Source organism: Homo sapiens, chromosome 3 (assembly GCF_000001405.40).
Source record: "Homo sapiens chromosome 3, GRCh38.p14 Primary Assembly".
Taxonomy (NCBI): domain Eukaryota; kingdom Metazoa; phylum Chordata; class Mammalia; order Primates; family Hominidae; genus Homo; species Homo sapiens.
This window is the reverse complement of record NC_000003.12, coordinates 195567684-195587680: the sequence shown is the minus strand read 5'-3', so window position 1 is coordinate 195587680 and position 19997 is coordinate 195567684. Positions and strand designations below refer to the sequence as shown.

At 45.7% G+C, this 19997-nt stretch overlaps 1 protein-coding gene across 1 annotated transcript, besides 1 other annotated feature; it reads left to right on the top strand.

Moving 5' to 3' along the window:
* Positions 1–3740: 3740 nt before the first annotated feature.
* On the top strand, positions 3741–18976 carry APOD (apolipoprotein D). The gene is made up of 5 exons (NM_001647.4): positions 3741–3803; positions 8186–8342; positions 13710–13831; positions 16316–16404; positions 18546–18976. The coding sequence occupies exons 2-5, from the start codon at positions 8220–8222 to the stop codon at positions 18779–18781; spliced, it is 570 nt and encodes a 189-aa protein (NP_001638.1). The 5' UTR covers positions 3741–3803; positions 8186–8219; the 3' UTR covers positions 18782–18976.
* Positions 4121–4290: an enhancer, noted in NCBI's record as "experimental_67527 CRE fragment used in MPRA reporter constructs". NCBI's record gives its function as "activates a minimal promoter by MPRAs in K562 erythroleukemia cells, with activity observed for the introgressed 3:195310347 variant allele {active_cell/tissue: K562}" and the evidence as "EXISTENCE:reporter gene assay evidence [ECO:0000049][PMID:34662402]".
* Positions 18977–19997: the final 1021 nt, after the last annotated feature.

Genomic DNA, 19997 nt, shown 5'->3' with positions numbered 1-19997 from the left:
TCTTCCCTGCATGCCATATCAAGCTGCTGTTTTCACCAGTTTGATTGCTGTCTTCCTGTTGACCAGATGCTTGGCACCATTAAACTTTCAACTAGTTCCAGAGCCCAGTGAGAAGGGAAATGGCCACCAGGGCACAGGAGGGAGAGGAAAGAGGGCCTCTGAATGAATAATGAGGTCTATAACAAGCCCAGCAAGGACTGAGAATCTAGCATATTCTATTATTCATTCCATCATTCACGGAATATTTAGTAAACACTTACGTGTCAGGCATCATGTAAGGTGCCAGGGATAAAAAGACAATCCTACTTGGGTGGATCTGACCGTCTCCAGAAGGAGATGGAGGCATAAGCATAGTGTAATGAGTGAGGACAGGGTGACATGTGCCATGAAAACACAAAGCAGATGGGAGAACGCTGCGTGGGGTGGGCTAGGAATCCAGAAGATGACCCAGGGAGGGGGACATTTGAGCCGAGTCTTAAAGAGTGAAGGTGCACTACTGAAACCTCTCAGTCTGCATTTTCACACGAAAAGTACATTTGTGCGTCCCCTTTATTCTAACTGACAAAAGAAAAATCACTTTAGAAAGGCATACAGGATGACTCTGGTAGTTGAAAGAACCACTTATTAAGAAATAAAGAATTCTTCATCCAGAAACATGTTTTTTTAGGAGATGAGATAGTTCTCTATTTCTTGCCACAAAGAGTCCATTCAAATAACTGCATCTTCCCTGCGGGTCTGAGAGTGAAACCACTGAGGCAATCACCTCCATGATGAAAGATCATCACCCAACAAAGAACTGCTTTCCGGAAAAACCACAGACCACAGACTGTCTCTTCAAGAAATGCGCTGTCGCCTGTAATCCAGCACTTTGGGAGGCCGAGGCGGGCAGATCACGAGGTCAGGAGATCGAGACCATCCTGGATAACACGGTGAAACCCCGTCTCTACTAAAAAAAAAAAAAAATTAGCCGGGCATGGTGGCAGGCCCCCGTAGTCCCAGCTACTCAGGAGGCTGAGGCAGGAGAATGGCATGAACCTGGGAGGCAGAGTTTGCAGTGAGCCGAGATCCGGCCACTGCACCACTCCAGCCTGGGCGAGAGCGAGATTCTGTCTCAAAAAAAAAAAAAGAAAGGAAAAAAAGAAATGTGCTCTCAGGTAAAAGCAAGATTTTGCAGCAGGTGAAAGAATGAGGTAGATCTATGTGTACTGATATAGAAAGATAGATACATTGTTACATTAAAAAACAAGTTTCTTGGCTGGGCGCAGTGGCGGTGGCTCATGCCTGTAATCCCAACACTTTGGGAGGCCGAGGCGGGTGGATCACCTGAGGTCAGGAGTTTGAGACCAGTCTGGCCAACATGGTGAAACTCCGTCTCTACTAAAAATACAAAAATCACTTGGGTGTGGTGGCGGGCGCCTGTAATCCCAGCTACTCGGGAGGCAGAGGCAGGAGAATCACTTGAACCAGGGAGGCTGAGGTTGCAGTGAACCAAGATTGCACCACTGCACTCCAGCCTGGGTGACAGAGTGAGTGAAGGTCGGTCTCAAAAAAAAAAAAAAGTTTCAGAACATTGAATATTGTTATTATTACATAGGGATCTGTATAGAAAGATCTAGAGGAATAATTACAAACAAAATAATGCTTATCTCTGAGGTGTGGGATTATGAGGTGCTTACATTTCCTGAGTCCTGCATTTTGGTGCTATTTTAATTGTTTTGAACAAATGTGTATTTATTTTGGGACTTAAAAATAAACACTTGCTTAGAAGATAGGTCTGATTTGTTTTATGCTGCTTAAGAATTTGTTACTGGCTATACATTCCAGAAACATGTGAAGAGAGGATTTCCCTAAGGAATATATCACTTACCAATATTTACAGAAAAAATGAACTGAGACCTAGGAAGATCGTGTGGCTTTTCTCCCGCTGTGACTCCTAGACCTGGACCTTCAGCTCCATGGTTGCCGACTTCAGTGCTGAGGGCTAAAATACATAGATATCTCCAACTCCAACATACATATTTGGAAACTTAGGCAACAGTGCTTTGTGGAAAACTGTGCAACTGCTTAGAGGAGAGAGAATTTTTTGTAATAGGCTGAAAAGAGGCTAACTGTGTATTTCTTCAATGACAGGCAATTCTTGGTGGCAAATGTGATACAGGTGAAGAAGACAGAAACATACAGGCTAGTGCTTCTCCAGAAATACAATTGAAATCAAAATCGCGTGAATATTACCTCTGGGGCCTTTTGTATATCTTAGAAACTCATTAAGTTCTTTGGATAGCATCCATTTAATTTATAAGTATTTACTGAGCACTTAGTATGTGCTTAGCCACTGGGGCACAACACAGAGTCAAAGAGACAAACTCCTGGCACGCCTCAAGCTCCTATCCTCCTGGGGAAAACATACTAAGCAGGATAATGTATAAATAAAGGAGAGAATTTCAGGTAAAGATATAATGAAGCAGGGAAAGGGACAGTGACAAGAGTGCTATTTTTGAAAGGTCAGGAAGCTTTTTAGGGAAAAGTGTCATCTGATCAGGGACCTGGAGTGGGGAAGGGAGCTACACAGAGCTCTTAGGGGAGGGCAGCACAGGAGGTCAGCGAGAGGCAGGCCCTGGGTGGTAGTAGGAATTTCTTATGTTTCTGAAAAGGCAAAGAACATCTTAAAGAAAGCGCTCACAACGTTTGGGATGTTACGGATCTGTGTTGTTGTTTTCATGTTTATAGACTCAGTGCTGTAAATGTATCTCTGTTGCTTACATATTTTAGAATGAATTTCATTTAGGAGTCTAAGTCTACTACGAAGGCACTGCCTTATCTAAATGTCTCTAAACATACCTCCTGCCTATCACAAAGACATAGAATCTCACTCACAAGAGTCAAAGTTGTTCATTCCACCAGGAGAGATAAGGCTGGACCAAAAGCACCCCTGGGTTTAAGTCCACACTCCCCACCACCCCGGCCCCCACCCCCAAGCAGTGACAGACTGTCTTGAACTTCTCGCTGCAAGGGTCATAAAAGGGACAGAGAACAGAGCGACAGAAGATGTCTTCTGCATTCTCAACTTTTAGCCCCAGTTGTTAGAGAACTGGTATCTCCCCTACACGTCTGGCTCTGGTGGAGAAAGAATGACAGCCCCTACTTACAACGAGGAGACTGTGGCTCAGAGAAGTTAGGGGGCTGCCCAGGATCCTGGAGAAAGCCAGCTTTGACTCATAACCCTCGCGCCATTACCTGACTCCCATTAGTGGAGTCAGGAACTCCATGTTCCACTTCAGGAAATGAGCTTGTTGATTTTTCATTTACACAAAAATGAAAAATAAATACCAGATGTTTGAAAACATGTTGCAACACGTCCTGCTGGAACTTAAAAGTGCATTCTGACCAAAAAAATTAAATTAGAAAATCCACATAGCAAAAAAAAAAATGTTTTGGATGAAAATATACTTTATCTTTCTCTCACACATACTCTCTCTCTCTCTCGCACACATACCCACACACACACACACACACACACACGCGCGCGCGAAAACAATATCTCATTTCTTCTTCAGGGAGCAGCTGTGAAGGAAATCGGGGGAGGAGGATGGACACAACATCCCATCTTTGTGTTTCGATACAGACTAAGCTTTTAGGCCAACCCTCCTGACTGGATGGGGGCGGCGGGCGTGGCATGCATGAAAAGTAAACATCAGAGACCTGAAGAAGCTTATAAAATAGCTTGGGAGAGGCCAGTCACCAAGACAGGCATCTCAAATCGGCTGATTCTGCATCTGGAAACTGCCTTCATCTTGAAAGAAAAGGTATGTACTGTAGTTTTAAGCTTTTCATTTATGATAATAATGTCTAAAATAGAAACAGTCTAGACTCTCCATTGCCCCATTTCAGCTACATATAACTACCACTGATTGAGAGCTTGTGCCGGTAGCTTTAGACTTGTTCTCATTTTTCCTCAAACAAATGTACAAGGTAGGTATCATCAGAGCCATTTTTCCAGTGATAAAGCTGAGGTTCAGATACACTAGCAACATGCCTAAGATAAAACCAAACCCAGTGTGAACTCATCCCAGCGTCTTTTGCTTACCCCTCCAAACTGGACAACGAGGTGTTTCCATGCACAAACACCGTCCTAGGTGAATTCTCAGCAAGCTGTCCAACGGTGCATCGCAGTAAAATAATCTGGAAACTGGAATTAATGGTGTGACTAGAAAATGCATTTGACAATATGGCATAAAATATTGTGTTTGGGAGATACGTGTCTTGTTATATTTAATGGCTAAATGAGTCTTTGAGACCTAATGACTTATTGGAACCTATTTTATTTTATGAGGTGAAATTTCAAAATCTAGTCCTTCACGTTCTGCAGATCTTTGAGGTCAGGGGCTGTGTCCCCAGGCACTAAGAGCGCGGGCTTGTGGGAGACCTAGGCTTACATTCTAGCCTGTCCCCAGGCCTAGGCTTACACTGTGGCTTCGTAGTTTACCAGGAAGTAACCCGGGCAAATTCACCTCGTTGGTATGAAGAGAGTGTCAGCAGAGGTCGCCTCCAGAGGAGGTGCTGTGGAGACTGAGCGCATAGCACCCTTAAAATCCTGGGACCAGGGCTTCTCCACGGGTAAGCTTAATGCAAGTGGAGCAGTGATTTCCAGCTAGTGCCAGGCCCAAGGTGGATGCACTGTCACCTTAGTTGGATTGCTTTTTAATTACCTCATATTCTGTTAAAAATCATATTTCTTTTTTTTTTTTTTTGAGACGGAGTCTCACTCTGTCACCCAGGCTGGAGTGCAGTGGCGCGATCTCGGCTCACTACAGCCTCCGCCTCCCAGGTTCAAGCCATTCTTGTGCCTCAGCCTCCCAAGTAGCTGGGATTACAGGACTGCACCACCATGCCCAGCTAATTTTTGTATTTTTTGTTTGTTTGTTTTTGTTTTGTTTTTTTGAGATGGAGTTTTTGCTCTGTTGCCCAAGCTAGAGTGCAATGGTGTGATCTTGGCTTACTGCAACCTCTGCCTCCCATGTTCAAGCAATTATCCTGCATCAGCCTCCCGAGTAGCTGTGATTACAGGTACTTGCCACCACACCTGGCTAATTTTTTGTATTTTTAGTAGAGACGGGGTTTCGCCATGTTGGCCAGGCTGGTCTCAAACTCCTAACCTCAAGTGATCTGCCCACCTCGGCCTCCCAAAGTGTTGGGATTACAGGCATTAGCCATCATGCCCGGCCAAAAATAATATTTAAATTATACTTATTTTGTAAAGTATTTAAACTCCTCATAAGAACAATCTTCCTATTGATATCAGAAGAAGATGCAAAAATATATGTCGTATATAATCCATATGTTACCCAAAGTCTTAAGTACACATTAATAACATGCTCAATAAGTAATGAGTAAATTAGAATGAAAGGACATTGAAAACTATAATGGATGCTGTCCGCCCTTTCTCTCACAAGGAGTTTTTTTGTTGTTGTTGTTTGTTTGCTTGTTTTGAGACGGAGTTTTGCTCTTGTTGCCCAGGCTGGAGTGCAATGATGCAATCTCAGCTCACCACAACCTCCACCTCCCGGGTTCAAGCAATTCTCCTGCCTCAGCCTCCCGATTACAGGCATGCATGTAATTACAGGCAGCATGGGATTACAGGCATGCACCACCATGCCCAGCTAATTTTTTTATTTTTAGTAGAGATAGGGTTTCTCCATGTTGGTCAGGCTGGTCTTGAACTCCCAACCTCAGGTGCTCCACCTGCCTCGGCCTCCCATGGGATTACAGGCTTGAGCCACCGCACCTGGCATCACAAGGAGTTTTAACCACAGGAATAAAACTAATGTAACCAAGAGGCATCTTTGGAAGAGGGTCAGTCAAAGGGGTTGTTCTGAAATCCTCCTACTGAGGTAAAGAATCTGTTTCAGCTCACAAGAGAGCATTTTGTCAGAGTAAGATGTAGAACTGACTTTTGTTGCAGTGTCATGTGGTGGTGAGACTCATCAGGTCACAGAGGTGGGGGGTTATTGAAAGGCCCTATGGCGGTGCACAGAAGAAGCAGATTCGGGGTGCTGCAGACAGGAGAGGGGGAGATGGAGCTCGAGTCCCAGCTCTCTGCCCCTTCCAGGCCCCAGCTTCCCCATCTGTACACCTTGGAAGTAGAGCTAGAAAGATGACCTCTAAGGTCCTATCCAGTGTGGGGACCTTGTGGAATGTGCATAGTGTGTGGCCAGTCTTTGAGGTTTGATCCTCTGGGCCAGGCTTTCAGCTTGGGCCTACTAAGTAGAATTCAAGATCTCTTTAAAATGGATGCAAATTTGTGTGGGTTTAGGCTGCATTTCTATAAATTCATCATCCCCCAAAAGGTTAAAAGACAGGTTTTGTTTATACAGTGGTGGAGCCGATGAGAAACGGAACCTCAGAGACCAGGGAAAGTGGCCCTGTGGCAGACTTGCTCAAAGGGGCCTCAGCAACCATCTCCCCCTGCAGCAACCCCAGCTGGCAAGCTGCCACTCCTTACATAACTGTTCTTTGGAAAACCAGGCAACAAAACCTCCAGGGGAAAAAAAGCTATTGATTATTAAAGGGTATTTAGAGGTTTAGAGACTCACAATAAAGCAGTTATAATTATTCCTGTAATGACACATCCTTCGAAATGCTCAGATCTGAGAACATTTTGCTTGCATTGCATCAGTCATCATCATTACAGGGAGAAATGCAGAGAGCTGGAAATAGCTCGTGTGCAAGCTACAGGCAAGGAGTCACAAGGAAAGGAGCAAATTGACAGCGAGTCAGTGAAGGAAACAGGGGAGCTTCCAATGCCCAGAACCTGCACACAGTCCTGCAGCCTCTGTCTCCCTGCCTTGCTGCCCCGCTTCAAAGCCAGCTTCTGCTGCCAAAGGACTCTTGGGGTTGAAATGCTTGTTGCACAGTTACACATCAGCTGACAGTCCTTCTCTGATTTAATGAACTTCATCTATGAAAAATACCCTCAACAGGCCGGGTGCGGTGGCTCAGGCCTGTAATCCCAGCACTTTGGGAGGCCAAGGCGGGTGGATCCCCTGAGGTCAGGAGTTTGAGACCAGCATGGCCAACATGGTGAAACCCTGTCTCTACTAAAAATACCAAAATTAGCCGGGAGTTGTGGTGGACACCTGTAATCCCAGCTACTCAGGAGTCTGAGGCAGGAGAATCACTTGAACCCGGGAGACAGAGGTTGCAGTGAGCCGAGATTGTGCCACTGCACTCCAGCCTGGGTGACAGAGTGAGACTCCATCTCAAAACAAAACAAAACAAAACAAAAACCCTCAACAGAATGTCAAAAAAAAAAAAAGAAGAAAGAAAGAAGAAAAGAAAAGAAAGAAGAAACCTGGGAAATACCATCATCTTTCTGCTTTTGATAATAACAATAACTAGCATTTATTGAGCATTTACTCTGTATCAGACACTCCTCTAAGTACTCTCTGTATATTATCTCATTTAATTCTCACAAAAATTCATGAGCTAGGAATGATAATTATTCCCATTTACTAGACAAAGAAGCTAAGGCATAAATTGGACACAGTTATACTTAGTATGGGGCAGAGTCACAATTTGAACCTGGCTGGGGTGACCCTGGAGCCCCCAGCAGGCCGCTCCCTGTTAAGGTTTCCAAGCGCACTCTTGGGCTGGTAGAACAGCCAGCAAGACGAGGGCAGGGGGAGGGATGGTGTCAGAGAGGCATCTCCCTGAAGAATCTCAGAGGACACTAAGTGTTGGGCAACATTTGGTTTGGTTTCGTGTCTTTCGTGGTTCACTTGGAGGCTTTAATCCCCCACTTTACATAGCCCTCTCCACGCTGTTTCTGTTCATTTGACAAGTATCTACTGAGCCGACACTTTGAGGTCCGTGGGTGATTCTGAGGAGAACTAGACACAGTGCCCATCCTGGGAGATGCATAATTAGGTGGGACAGGGGTGAAAATCAATCCAACAAACCAGAATACCAGGCAGAGAGCGCCCTCGTGGAGGTGCAGAGGCTCTGAGGAAGGCCTCACAGCAACAAGGACAGGCAGGTGTTCCCCTGCAGGATGAGGGTTCACATGGGCTGGGGAGAGAAGAGGAGGGACCGCCCACAGAGGGGACCATGGGCACAGCACTCTTACTTCATGATTGTGTGGCCTTAGAAGGCTCAGAATGACAACCCCAGCTGCTTTGCGTTCCCGCAGCTCCAGGTCCCTTCTCCAGCCACCCAGCCCCAAGATGGTGATGCTGCTGCTGCTGCTTTCCGCACTGGCTGGCCTCTTCGGTGCGGCAGAGGGACAAGCATTTCATCTTGGGAAGTGCCCCAATCCTCCGGTGCAGGAGAATTTTGACGTGAATAAGGTAAAAGGCGAACCTCCCGTTTGTTTTGCTGCCTCCGCTGTGAATAAGCGTTCTACAAGGTTCAATGTAATTATGCTGCTTTAATTTCCACTGCACACCTTGGGACAAGTATTTATCTTATTTGGGGTTTCCCCAAAGCAGACATCTGCTGAGATAAAGACTGCAGGCAGAGAGGTTTGGGATGATCCCGGGACGCACGAGAGCAGGTGGGAAGGTGAGTCGGAGACAGCACAGAAGCAATAAAGGGTGCGTTCCTGAGCTGTCGCCCTGGGCCGTCAGGGTCAGTCACACTGGGCACCCTCTGAGGACACGTGGAGCATGCCCCTCCGATTGTCCCACAGCTGCTGCCAGCAGGTCATGGGAGCATCCGTGGCTCTAGCTGAGCCCCCTGGCAGAGGAGAGACACAGGGTCTCAGGTGGGAGGCTGGCAGTGTCTGGGAATTGCCTACCGTGGCTGCGGTGAACTCAGAGGTGGGCTGAGGGGAACAGGACCAGGGAACCATAGTAGCTGCTACAGAGCTATTATCCTTGTTCTACAGATGCAGCATCGGAATCTCCCTCCCCAGCTCACGCAGCTGGTAAATGCAAGTAGGATTCAAAACCAGGCTTCTCAGCAGTGCAGGGCACCCAAAGGTCACTCAAACAGGGCTCAGGAAAGCCCAAAATTCTCCAGGGGGCTTTCTTGGTATCTGCACCAAAATGTCATCAATACAACGAGCTCCTCCATAGATGGTCTTTCTTCCTGGGGTTTAGCGGGAGGGGAAGGAAGAGGGCGGCAGAAAGAGGCAGCTATTGGAGGACAGGACTCACAGGCTCCCACTGTTGCTACTCAAGCCTGGAATCTCACCCTTAAGACTTCCTCTCCTTAGGAGAAGGTTTGGATCTCTTTTAAGAATGGCAACAGTAACATCGAAGTTGTTATCATACACTCGCACCTCAAGGTGAATGAGTGTTGGGACCTCTGAGGGGACGCTGGGTGGGAGAAGGAGCACCATCCATGGGATCAGGAGATACAGGTGTGGTAGGAAGAGGCCATAGAGTACACTAACGTCTACACTGACTTGCTCCACTTACAGGCTGATCCCTTTATTCAGGTAACTCTGATAGACCACAGAGAGGCTTTAAAGAAAACATCCAAGGAATCTGAGTTATACTTTCGCTTTTGGATACAAATCCCAAAGCACTTTGGAAATGATAACTGATCTGTATTTATAGAAGTCCTTTGAGAATTAAAGCAGGATTTAAAAAATAGCAGCTTTATTGAGATATAATTTGTATAGCACGTAATTCACTTGTTTAAAGTAGCTTTTCACTTTCCATTGTTGTTAGTATCATCACAGAGTTACGCAACCATCACCACCACCATCGATTTAGAACATTTCACTGTTCCGAAAAGGAACCTCATACCCATTCACGGAGTCTCCATCTCCCCTCCAACCCTTCCAGCCCCAGGCAACCACTAATCTACTTTCTGTCTCCGAATTTGCCTATTCTGCATATTTGATAAAAATGAAATCATACTATATGTGGTCTTTTGTGACTGGTTTACTGAACGTTTTCAAGGTTCATCCACGTTGTAGCATGTATCAATACTATATCCCCTTTTATTGCCAAATAATATTCTTGTAGGAAATCGTTATAGGAAATCAATTGACTGTATATGTGAGAGTTTATTTTTGCACTCTCAGTTCTATTGATCTATATGTCTATACTTATGCCAGTACCACACAGTGTTGATTACTATAGCTTTGTAGTAATCAAAGCCTTGAGGTAAGCTTTGAAATAAGAACACATGTGTCCTCCAACTTTGTTCTTCTGGTTATTCCGTGTCCCTTACATTTTTATATGAATTTTAGGATCAGCGTGTCAATTTCTGCAAATAATCCAATTGGAATTTGATACAGATTGCATTAAATCTGAAGATCAATTTGGGGAGTACTGCCATCTTAACAATATTAAGTCTTCTAACTTGTCAACATAGTGTATCTTTCCATTGAATTAGGTCATCTTTAATTTCTTTCAACAATACTTTGTAGTTTTCAGAGTATAAGTTTTATGTTTCTTTGGTTAAATTTATTCCCAAATATTTTATTCTTTTGATGTTATTGTAAATGGAATTTTCTTCTTTTTCTTTTCTTTTCTTTTTTTTTTTGAGACGGAGTCTCACTTTGTCACCCAGGGTGGAGTGCAGCATCACCATCTTGGCTCACTGCAACCTCCGCCTCCCGGGTTCAAGCAATTCTCCTGCCTCAGCCTCCCAAGTAGCTGGGACTACAGGTACACGCCACCACACCCAGCAAAGTTTTTTTGTATTTTAGTAAAGACGGGGTTTCACCATGTTGCCCAGGCTGGTCTCGAACTCCTGAGCTCAGGCAATCCATCCGCCTCGGCCTCCCATAGTGCTAGGATTACAGGTGTGAGCAAGCCACCGTGCCCGGCCTTTTAAATGGAATTTTCTTAATTTCATCTGCAAATTGTTCATTGCAAGTAGAGAAATATGTTTATATATGTATATATTTTTGTGTGTGTGTGACAGAGTCTTGCTCTGTCACCCAGGCTGGAGTGTAGTGGCACCATCTCAGCTCACTGCAACCTCTGCCTCCCAGGTTCAAGAGATTATCCTGCCTCAGCCTCCCGAGTAGCTGGTATTACAGTTGCGTGCCACCATGCCCGGCTAATTTTTAAATTTTTTATAGAGATGGGGCCTCGCCATGTTGGCTATGCTGGTCTTGAACTCCTGACCTCAAGTGATCCACCCGCCTCGGCCTCCCAAAGTCCTGGGATTACAGGCATGAGCCACTGCGTCTGGCTGAGAAATATATTTGATTTTTGAATATTAATCTTGTATCTTGTAACCTTGCTTAACTCATTAGATCCAATAGTTTTTGGTTTTGTCTCTGTTTTAGATTTCTTAGGATATTTTATATGTCATCTGCAAACAGATAGAGTTTTACCTCTTCTTTTCTAGGATTATTTTTCAATACTGACCAGAGATCTGAAAAGATTAAGAAGCCTTTGCAAAAATAATATGAGATCATAAGGAAGCTCTGAGTTTCCTCTTTTCTGAAAAATCATGCTTCCTTGGTTTTTACTATGGGGCACTAAACTCACTTTAACAGAAATAGAACAGATTTGAATGCACCATAGAAAATGGAGCTTCTTCCGAGAATGTCTATGAAACCAGTTAACCTCTAACCTTATTCTTTGGTACTTTAAATGAATGTTAAGTTCAGTGGCTTTAATTGAAAGCTGTGCTTTAATAAGTGAGTAGAACTTTATGGTCATGAATGTGGCATACATTTGAGCGGAAAGCCGTGGCTGAAGCAATACTCACCTGTGTGCAGCATCCTCTCTTTTCAAGTTCTGACTCTGAAGGTGAGCGCATCTCTTTTTGTTTTTAAATTTCTAGAATAGGCCAGGCGCGGTGGCTCACGCCTGTAATCCCAGCACTTTGGGAGGCCGAGGCAGGGGGATCACTAGGTCAGGAGATTGAGACCATCCTGGCCAACATGGTGAAACCCCTTCTCCAGTAAAAATACAAAAATTAGCCGGGCATGGTGGCACGTGCCTGTAATCCCAGCTACTCGGGAGGCTGAAGCAGGAGAATCACTTGCACCCGGGAGGCAGAGGTTGCAGTGAGCCCAGATTGCACTACTGCACTCCACTCTGGTGACATAGTGAGACTCCATCTCAAAAAAACAAAATTCTAATTAGTATTTTAACTAGATAAATATATTTACATTGTTCAAAATCCTAAAGGTGTAAAAGAATACACCACATAAAGTTTCCCTCCCACCTCTGTACCTCAGTTTCCCTCCCCAGTAGCAACTAGTAAAAACCATGTATTATGTAATTTTACAGATAATATATACATATACAAGCAAATACTTAATAACTGTGGTAAGCAGAAGAGTGGCTTCCAAAGGTGTCCACGCCCTAACCTTGTGAATGTTACTTTGCATGGGAAAAGGGCTTTTGCAAATGTGATCGAAGTTATGAGCCTTGAGATGGCCAGATTAGCCTTGATTATCCAGGGGAACTCAATCTAATCACATAAATCCTTAAAAGCAGAGAATCTTTCCCAGCTGTGATAAGAGAGAGAGGTTTGATGATGGCATAAGAGTCAGAGAGATGCAATGTGAGAAGGATCTGACTTCCTTTTGCTGGCTTTGAAAATAGAGGAAGCCTCAAGCCAAGGAATGTAGGCGGCCTGTAGAACTTGGAAAAGGCAAGGAAACTGATCCTCCCCTAGAGCTCCCAGAGGGAAACACAGCCAACACTTTGAGTTCAGCCCAGTGAGACCTGTCAGACTTCTGACTTACACAACTGCAAGATAATAAATCTGTGCTGTTTGAAGCTTGTGCTAATTTATTATAGCAGCAACAGAAAACCAACGTAATAAACATTTTCTCCATTTTTACACAAAAGGTGCCTTAATAGATACACTATTTTGTACCTGACTCTTTTGTCATTAAATATTAGAAATCACTGCATACCACTCTTTTGAAAGAGGAAGTAAAATTCCATTGTCTGGATATGCCATCGTTTACTCACCCAGCCCCCTACTAATGCTCACATAGGCTGTTTCCTATCTTGTATTATTACAAACGGTACTGTAATGAATAACTTTACACATACATCATTTCTTATATCAGGAGGATGCATTCCCAGAAGTGAAATTGCTGGGCCAAAGAGTATAATATGTATTTTTAGCTTTGCTAGATATTGCCAAACTGCCCTCCGCAGAGGTTGTAAACTGGTATGGTCTCCCTGCAACGCGTGCCAGGCAGCCTAGGAGGGCCTGGTTCCCTCGACCTTCCCCACACAGTGGCAGCTTCCTTTAAAGCTAACTGTATACACCTGAAGTCTGGACTGAGCGCAGGCCCCTAGAGAAAGCATGATACAGACCTTTCAAATCCCCACCACCTCTCCAAAGCCTTGATGACTAAATCCCTCCTCAGGGTCAGATGAGGAAAGTTCCGTGCGCTCTGGAGTCCTAGCTCCCCACAGCGAACACATCTGACTTTGCACAGGATTCAAAGATGACTTGTAGAATTGTGCACTGTTTCAGATGAAAGGTATTTCCCATCATCCCCTTTTTTTACAGAGTCTAGAATGTCACAGCGATTTTGGCTGAAGTGGGCCCTGAGAAGAGCCCTTTACTCAGCATTCACCCCCTGCCCGCACATCCCATCCTAGTCACAGATTCTCATTGCAATCAATCTCTTGCCCAGTTGCCACTGGGAACAATGAGGCCCATTTTGTCTGGCTTCCCCAGGACAGGGCTCTGCGTCTGCACGACAATGGGGAAGAAGTTGCAGGTCCCCAGAGAACCACAGGGTTTTGCTCTGCTTGTTGTCTCTGCAGTATCTCGGAAGATGGTACGAAATTGAGAAGATCCCAACAACCTTTGAGAATGGACGCTGCATCCAGGCCAACTACTCACTAATGGAAAACGGAAAGATCAAAGTGTTAAACCAGGAGTTGAGGTGAGTGGCTGTGGGCGTCCGGGGCCAGGCCTGCGGAGTGCTGATGCAGAGTGACTGGGTGTCCGGCAGCCTGGGTCAGGGAGGATGGGAACCTTGCTGGATCGGGACTGCCTGCTCCTAGCAGGAATTGAGAGGAAAGCGTTTGGCAGGCAAGGATGGCAAGGACTAGGATCCACTTATGCATTTCCATGACCACCTGCGGGGCACAAACTGACAGGGTTCCTGCACTCACTGCAAAATAGATACTCTGGTAGCAAAGAACATCAAGACCATCTCTTCTGACCTCCAGTCTGGGAGAGAAGCCGCTTCGACACCATCTGCTGACAGAAGCATCCAGCTTTGTTCAAACACTTCCAGGAACTGGGAGCTCATCGCCTTCCAGGACAGTTCATCCCATCTCTGGGCAGCTTAATCTATCAGAAAGCTCCTTTTCTTATTAAGCAAGAATCACATACACAACATTCACACTCTAGGTTATGTAAACAGGATATCCTTTAGAAGTGTACATTTCTATTACTGAGGGCTTCTAACACAATAATTAATCCAAAAAGCTACGCTTTGGAAAGCAACTATAAACTTAAAAAGAGCCCCAGGAAGAGCTCCTTCCTACCCACCTTCCACTCTTGAAAATACAAATGCAGTTTTTCCATGAACATGTTGTGACTTCATGGTCAGAGACTGGTGTCCTGAAAACCGTTCTAGAGCAAAATGCAATTGACGGTGAAAAGGGCAGAATCTGCTGGGAGGAGACTGGTTTGTTGCTAAGTTAACGTATGCAGATAGAAACAGACCATCTTCCCCAGCTGTCTGAGATCCAGATGAGAGAGGAGGGCACGGTCTCCAGCTTTACATGGTGATAAACAGAGAAAGTACTTGGGAACATCAGAGCACAGTTCCCAGAATCCCTGGCCTGTTGCTCATTGTCCTGTTTCTAGGACATCCGTCACCACTAACCATAGCATTAACCTACTGACTTTCTTTTTTTTTTTTAATTGTATTTTAGTAGAGACGGGGTTTCACTGTGTTGGCCAGGCTGGTCTTGATCTCCTGACCTTGTGATCCGCCCCCCCTTGGCCTCCCAAAGTGCTGGGATTACAGGCGTGAGCCACCACGCCCGGCCAACCTACTGACTTTCTAACACATACGACTGCTCTAATTTCAGTTGGCCTCCCTGCTCTGCCTTGAGGATTGATAAACAGACATCCTCTCCTCTGTTGGCTTCCTAGGAAGAGCACCCTGATGCCTTAGCACCCTCCCTTTGGTGCCTCCATCTCCACACCTTTCCCCTTCTCCCAAGTTCATGGGGCCATTGGGAGTCATCTAGAAAGCAGGCTCATTCAAAGAGGTGAAAGTATTGCATCCAATCTAAGCCCCCAGCTTTTAAGACACACCACTGCGTTATATGCCACTAAGAAAGGAATGACACTGCTAATTGTCAGGTGACATCAATTGTGAGATATGCATTTCTTCACATTTAATGTCTCTGAAATCTGGGCATACCTGAGAATCACTGAGATAAAGTAAATGTTTCTTCACTGCCTCCTTTTACTTGGCCTACATTGAAATCCCCCACACTCACTCAGAGGCTTGCTGAACTAGAGGGAGTCTCTGGACTCAGGCCCCTTGATGGGACAGGCGATGTCACATGATATCACTGAGGCCCAAAGAAGGGGAACGCTTTTATGTCTCCTTGTTTTGAATTATTTTCAGTGATCAAGTCCATCCTCATCTGTACCTTTGGCCCTTCTCGTTTTAAAAAGAAGTGAATCTGCCAGGCACGGCGGCTCACGCCTGTAATCCCAGCACTTTGGGAGGCTGAGGCAGGTAGATTGCCTGAGGTCAGGAGTTTGAGACCAGCCTGGCTAACATGGTGAAACCCCGTCTCTACTAAAGATACAAAAAATTAGCCAGGCGTGGTGGTGCATGCCTGTAATCTCAGCTCCTGGGGAGGCTGAGGGAGGAGAATTGCTTGAACCGGGGAGGCAGAGGTTGCAGTAAGCCGAGATCGCACCACTGCACTCCAGCCTGGGGGACAGAGCAAGACTCCATCTCCAAAAAAAAAAAAAAGTGAATCTTCTTTGTGTGTTGGGTTGTTTTGTTTGTTTTTCCATTCTCTTTTCTCCCTTTCTTTGGAGACTGGGAGCAGGAATTGGTCTTTCAGGCCATAGAAGATAGTCAGAGATAGTGTTGAAGTGCAAGGGCCTAACATACTGTCCCATCCTGGAGCTTGTCAATTGCGGCTTCTTATCACCCCGCTGCTCTCTTCCCCTGCTTGGCCTCAGAGACAGTCACAAGGGAAAGGCCAGGCCATGGAGCTAGGGTCTAGCCTGCCTTTGAGAGCCTCTCTTACCAGAAATCACGGTGTTGGCTGCCACGGTCCTTAGTGGCACAAATCTTGCCTTTCGTTGCTTATTGGCTTTCAATGAGTTGTTTTTCTTTTCTCTTTTCGTTTTTTGTATTTTTTCTTTTTTTAACTCACTGCAGAGCTGATGGAACTGTGAATCAAATCGAAGGTGAAGCCACCCCAGTTAACCTCACAGAGCCTGCCAAGCTGGAAGTTAAGTTTTCCTGGTGTAAGTATCCACTTTTCCCAGGAGGATTCAGGGACAGGAAATATGCAAACTGAAGGCTAGCGCCCCGGCTTGGAGAATTCCTGAGACACCTGAGTGTCATCTATAATCACTCAGCACATAATTATCTGTCAAACACTTACTACATGTCACGCACTAGGGTTGCCATGATGAGCCGGACAGAGCTGGCCTTGGTACTTATGGAGCTCACATCCCAGTGTGGATACTGACACGTGACCCCGCAATTTACTATAACTAGCTAGCGTTTCAACAGGTGAAACACAAGTAGGTGCACACCGGGTGTGGGCTGCAGAAGACACAACCCAGTCTTGTTTCCCAAAGGAAACTGGGGCCCGAAACATTAGCAGATATTAGCAGAACAACCTGCACGGCGCAGAAACTAGGAAGCAAGAGATGACAAGAGTGACGGCAAGTTTGAATCCTGCTTCTGCCACTTTCCAGTCACATTGTTGGGGATCCTGTGAGATACCTAATGACAGGCATTTGCCTCTGGGTTCTGAGCTAACTGAGGAAGGGACACAGGCAATAGAGAAAGCACCAAATATTAGTTTTATTTCCGACGAAGATACACTAGAGAGTTCAACCCAGAACTGTGAGGCTTTCTAACACGAAGAGTGCTTGAAAGCCCCTTTCCCACCTGCAGGGTAGACACTGAAGTCATCAGCTACAAAAGTTACTCCCTGCACTTCCTACTTCTCATCTCTGCCACTCCTCCACCCCACACCAGTCAAGTGCCTAGAGCGGGGAGGAGAGGAAGTTCTAATTTTATAGACCAAGAAAGGAATGCTGGGAGGAGAAAACAGTTCTTCTCACACTATGAATATGGACAACTAACTTCACATGTACAAGCCAGAAATAACTGCCCAGTGTCGTGAAAATAAACCAGATACACACGCTCTGTAAACTGTAAAGGGCTTTATACACAGTTTCTCTTGTTATTTTTATCAAGAAGGGAGCTAAAGTGCAGGTGGGCTGAGTGACGCAGGCCATCACTGAACTCATTAGAAGTAGAGTTGGGACCTAAACCTAGGTCTCCAAACTCTCAACTGAGTATTTTTCCCATAGGGATCAGGGACGGGGATTGGAGTGAAAGCTAACTATTACATGCATAACAAGGATTAGATGTTTGCGTTAGGCCTTGTAGGATTATGGGAGATTATGGAAAAGGATTTCCAAGTGAAGGGAACTGGAACATAGAAGAAGGCCTGAATACAGGCATATCACGAAGTCAGGAGTTCAAGACCAGCCTGGCCGACATGGTGAAACCCTGTCTCTACTAAAGATACAAAAAATTAGCTGGGCATGGTGGCGTGTGCCTGTAATCCCAGCTACTCAGGATGCTGAGGCAGGAGAATCGCTTGAACCCAGGAGGTGGAGGTTGCAGTGAGCTGAGATCGCGCCATTGCACTCCAGCCTGGGCGACAAGAGTGAAACTCCATCTCAAAAAAAAAAAAAAAAAAAAAAAAAAAAAACGAAGAAGAAGAAGGCCTGAATAAAGAGGCCTAGAGCCTGGGAGTGTACATGAAGAGGGGCATGAGGTTAGGAAGGGCCTTGAATGCCACATTAAAAGGCTTGAAGTTTCTTCCATAAACAATAGGAGACTGTCAAAGTTTTCAAATAAGGAGAGACATGTGAAGTTTTCTGTATTGTATCTGGGTAAATTTATTCTTCGGAACTGGACCACGAGAGGAAGGCAGAATGTGCCAGCCTGGGTGAGTGCAGGTGGGCCATGATGCCGCTGCTGGCAGAGGTGGGAGACAGATTTTTGCAAAATCACTCTGGGCTTAAGAGTTCTCAGTCCACCTGGGAATACACAGAGCAGCTGAAATGTGCAGATGGGTGATGACTATAACGCTGTCTCTCTCTCTCTCTCTGTCTCTCTCTCTGGGTGAGTGAGGCAGGCAGGCAGGCAGGGCACCAACAGTGCTAGAAAGGGTAAGTCAGAAACACTCAGTCTAGGCTTTCGTCCAAACTTCTTTCCAGGGTCTTTCTGTTTCTGGATTGATAAACAAAATCAGAGGTGGGGGGCTTGGTGGGTGGTTGTCTGGGCCAGCCTTCTTGTGTTGTCCTGAGATTTCTCTTGCCCTCTCCCTCCAATAATGCTGCCTCTCTCTGGTTCTCAGTTATGCCATCGGCACCGTACTGGATCCTGGCCACCGACTATGAGAACTATGCCCTCGTGTATTCCTGTACCTGCATCATCCAACTTTTTCACGTGGATTTTGCTTGGATCTTGGCAAGAAACCCTAATCTCCCTCCAGAAACAGTGGACTCTCTAAAAAATATCCTGACTTCTAATAACATTGATGTCAAGAAAATGACGGTCACAGACCAGGTGAACTGCCCCAAGCTCTCGTAACCAGGTTCTACAGGGAGGCTGCACCCACTCCATGTTACTTCTGCTTCGCTTTCCCCTACCCCCCCCCCATAAAGACAAACCAATCAACCACGACAAAGGAAGTTGACCTGAACATGTAACCATGCCCTACCCTGTTACCTTGCTAGCTGCAAAATAAACTTGTTGCTGACCTGCTGTGCTCGCAGTAGATTCCAAGTTGGATTAATTATTGTGGGTTTTTCATTATAAGCTTATGCTTAGAAATCCTTAAACAGGCTGGTTGTGGTGCCTCATGCCTGTAATCCCAGCACTTTGGGAGGCTGAGGCAGGAGGATCACCTGAGGCCGGGAGTTCAAGACCAGTCTGGGCAACATAGCAAGACCTCATCTCTACAAAAATGTTTTTAAAATTAGCTGGGTATGGTGGTGCACACCCGTGCTAGCTACTCAGGAGGTGGTGGCAGGAGGATGACTTGAGCCCAAGAATTCGAGGGTACAGTGAGCTATGATGGCACCACTGCACTCCAGCCTGGGCAACAGAGCAAGACCCTGCCTCTAAAAAGAAAAACAGAAAAAAAAATCCTTAAGCAGTTATGTTGAAAAAAACCAAGCACTGAATTGTCCTCATTTAAAGGTAACAATCCTGTTTCTGGAGTGGGGGAAGCTGATGGCAAAGGCGTATTCTGGGTGACCTGAATCCAGATGCCCCCGTTCTGGAGTAGATGCTGCTTTCAGGGTGAATTACTTGGGCGTTCGGAGTCCCTGTGGGGCAGTTTCTTTGAAGTGTTTACTTTCTCCTCGGGTCTTCAGAGCCAGGCTGAAGAATGAACCCATCTAGGGGTTTATGTAAGGAAGAGGAGAATCTATGAGGAAGAACATAGGGAGTTTCTTTTAAGGAAAAAAATACATATATATATGTTGTCTTTCATTCAACTGATATTTACGGAAGCCCAATCGCATTCCAGGCATTGAAAAATACAGAATCCCTGTCCTCCCACAGAAGCTCACAGTCTAGTGAGGGAGAAACAAATAAAGATGCCGTTATAATCCAAGGTGAAGAATGCAAAGGCAGAGGCACACAGAGGGTGCCAGGGAGCTCCAGGAAAGTCCCAACCCCTGCCAGACACAGGTGGGCAGTAGGGTTGTGCAGCTACACCTATGAGCACTCCAATTTCCCAGGACCAACAGGTCTCAAGAACGTCTTTGTGGCCGGGCGCGGTGGCTCATGCCTGTAATAC

What these genes read in the sequence shown, in the direction of transcription:
- APOD (NM_001647.4), top strand. Translation starts at nt 8,220, where the DNA reads ATGGTGATGCTGCTGCTGCTGCTTTCCGCACTGGCTGGCCTCTTCGGT. An exon ending in AGAATTTTGACGTGAATAAG is followed by an intron (nt 8,343 to 13,709) that starts GTAAAAGGCGAA and finishes TTGTCTCTGCAG; the next exon opens with TATCTCGGAAGATGGTACGA. An exon ending in GGAAGTTAAGTTTTCCTGGT is followed by an intron (nt 16,405 to 18,545) that starts GTAAGTATCCAC and finishes TCTGGTTCTCAG; the next exon opens with TTATGCCATCGGCACCGTAC.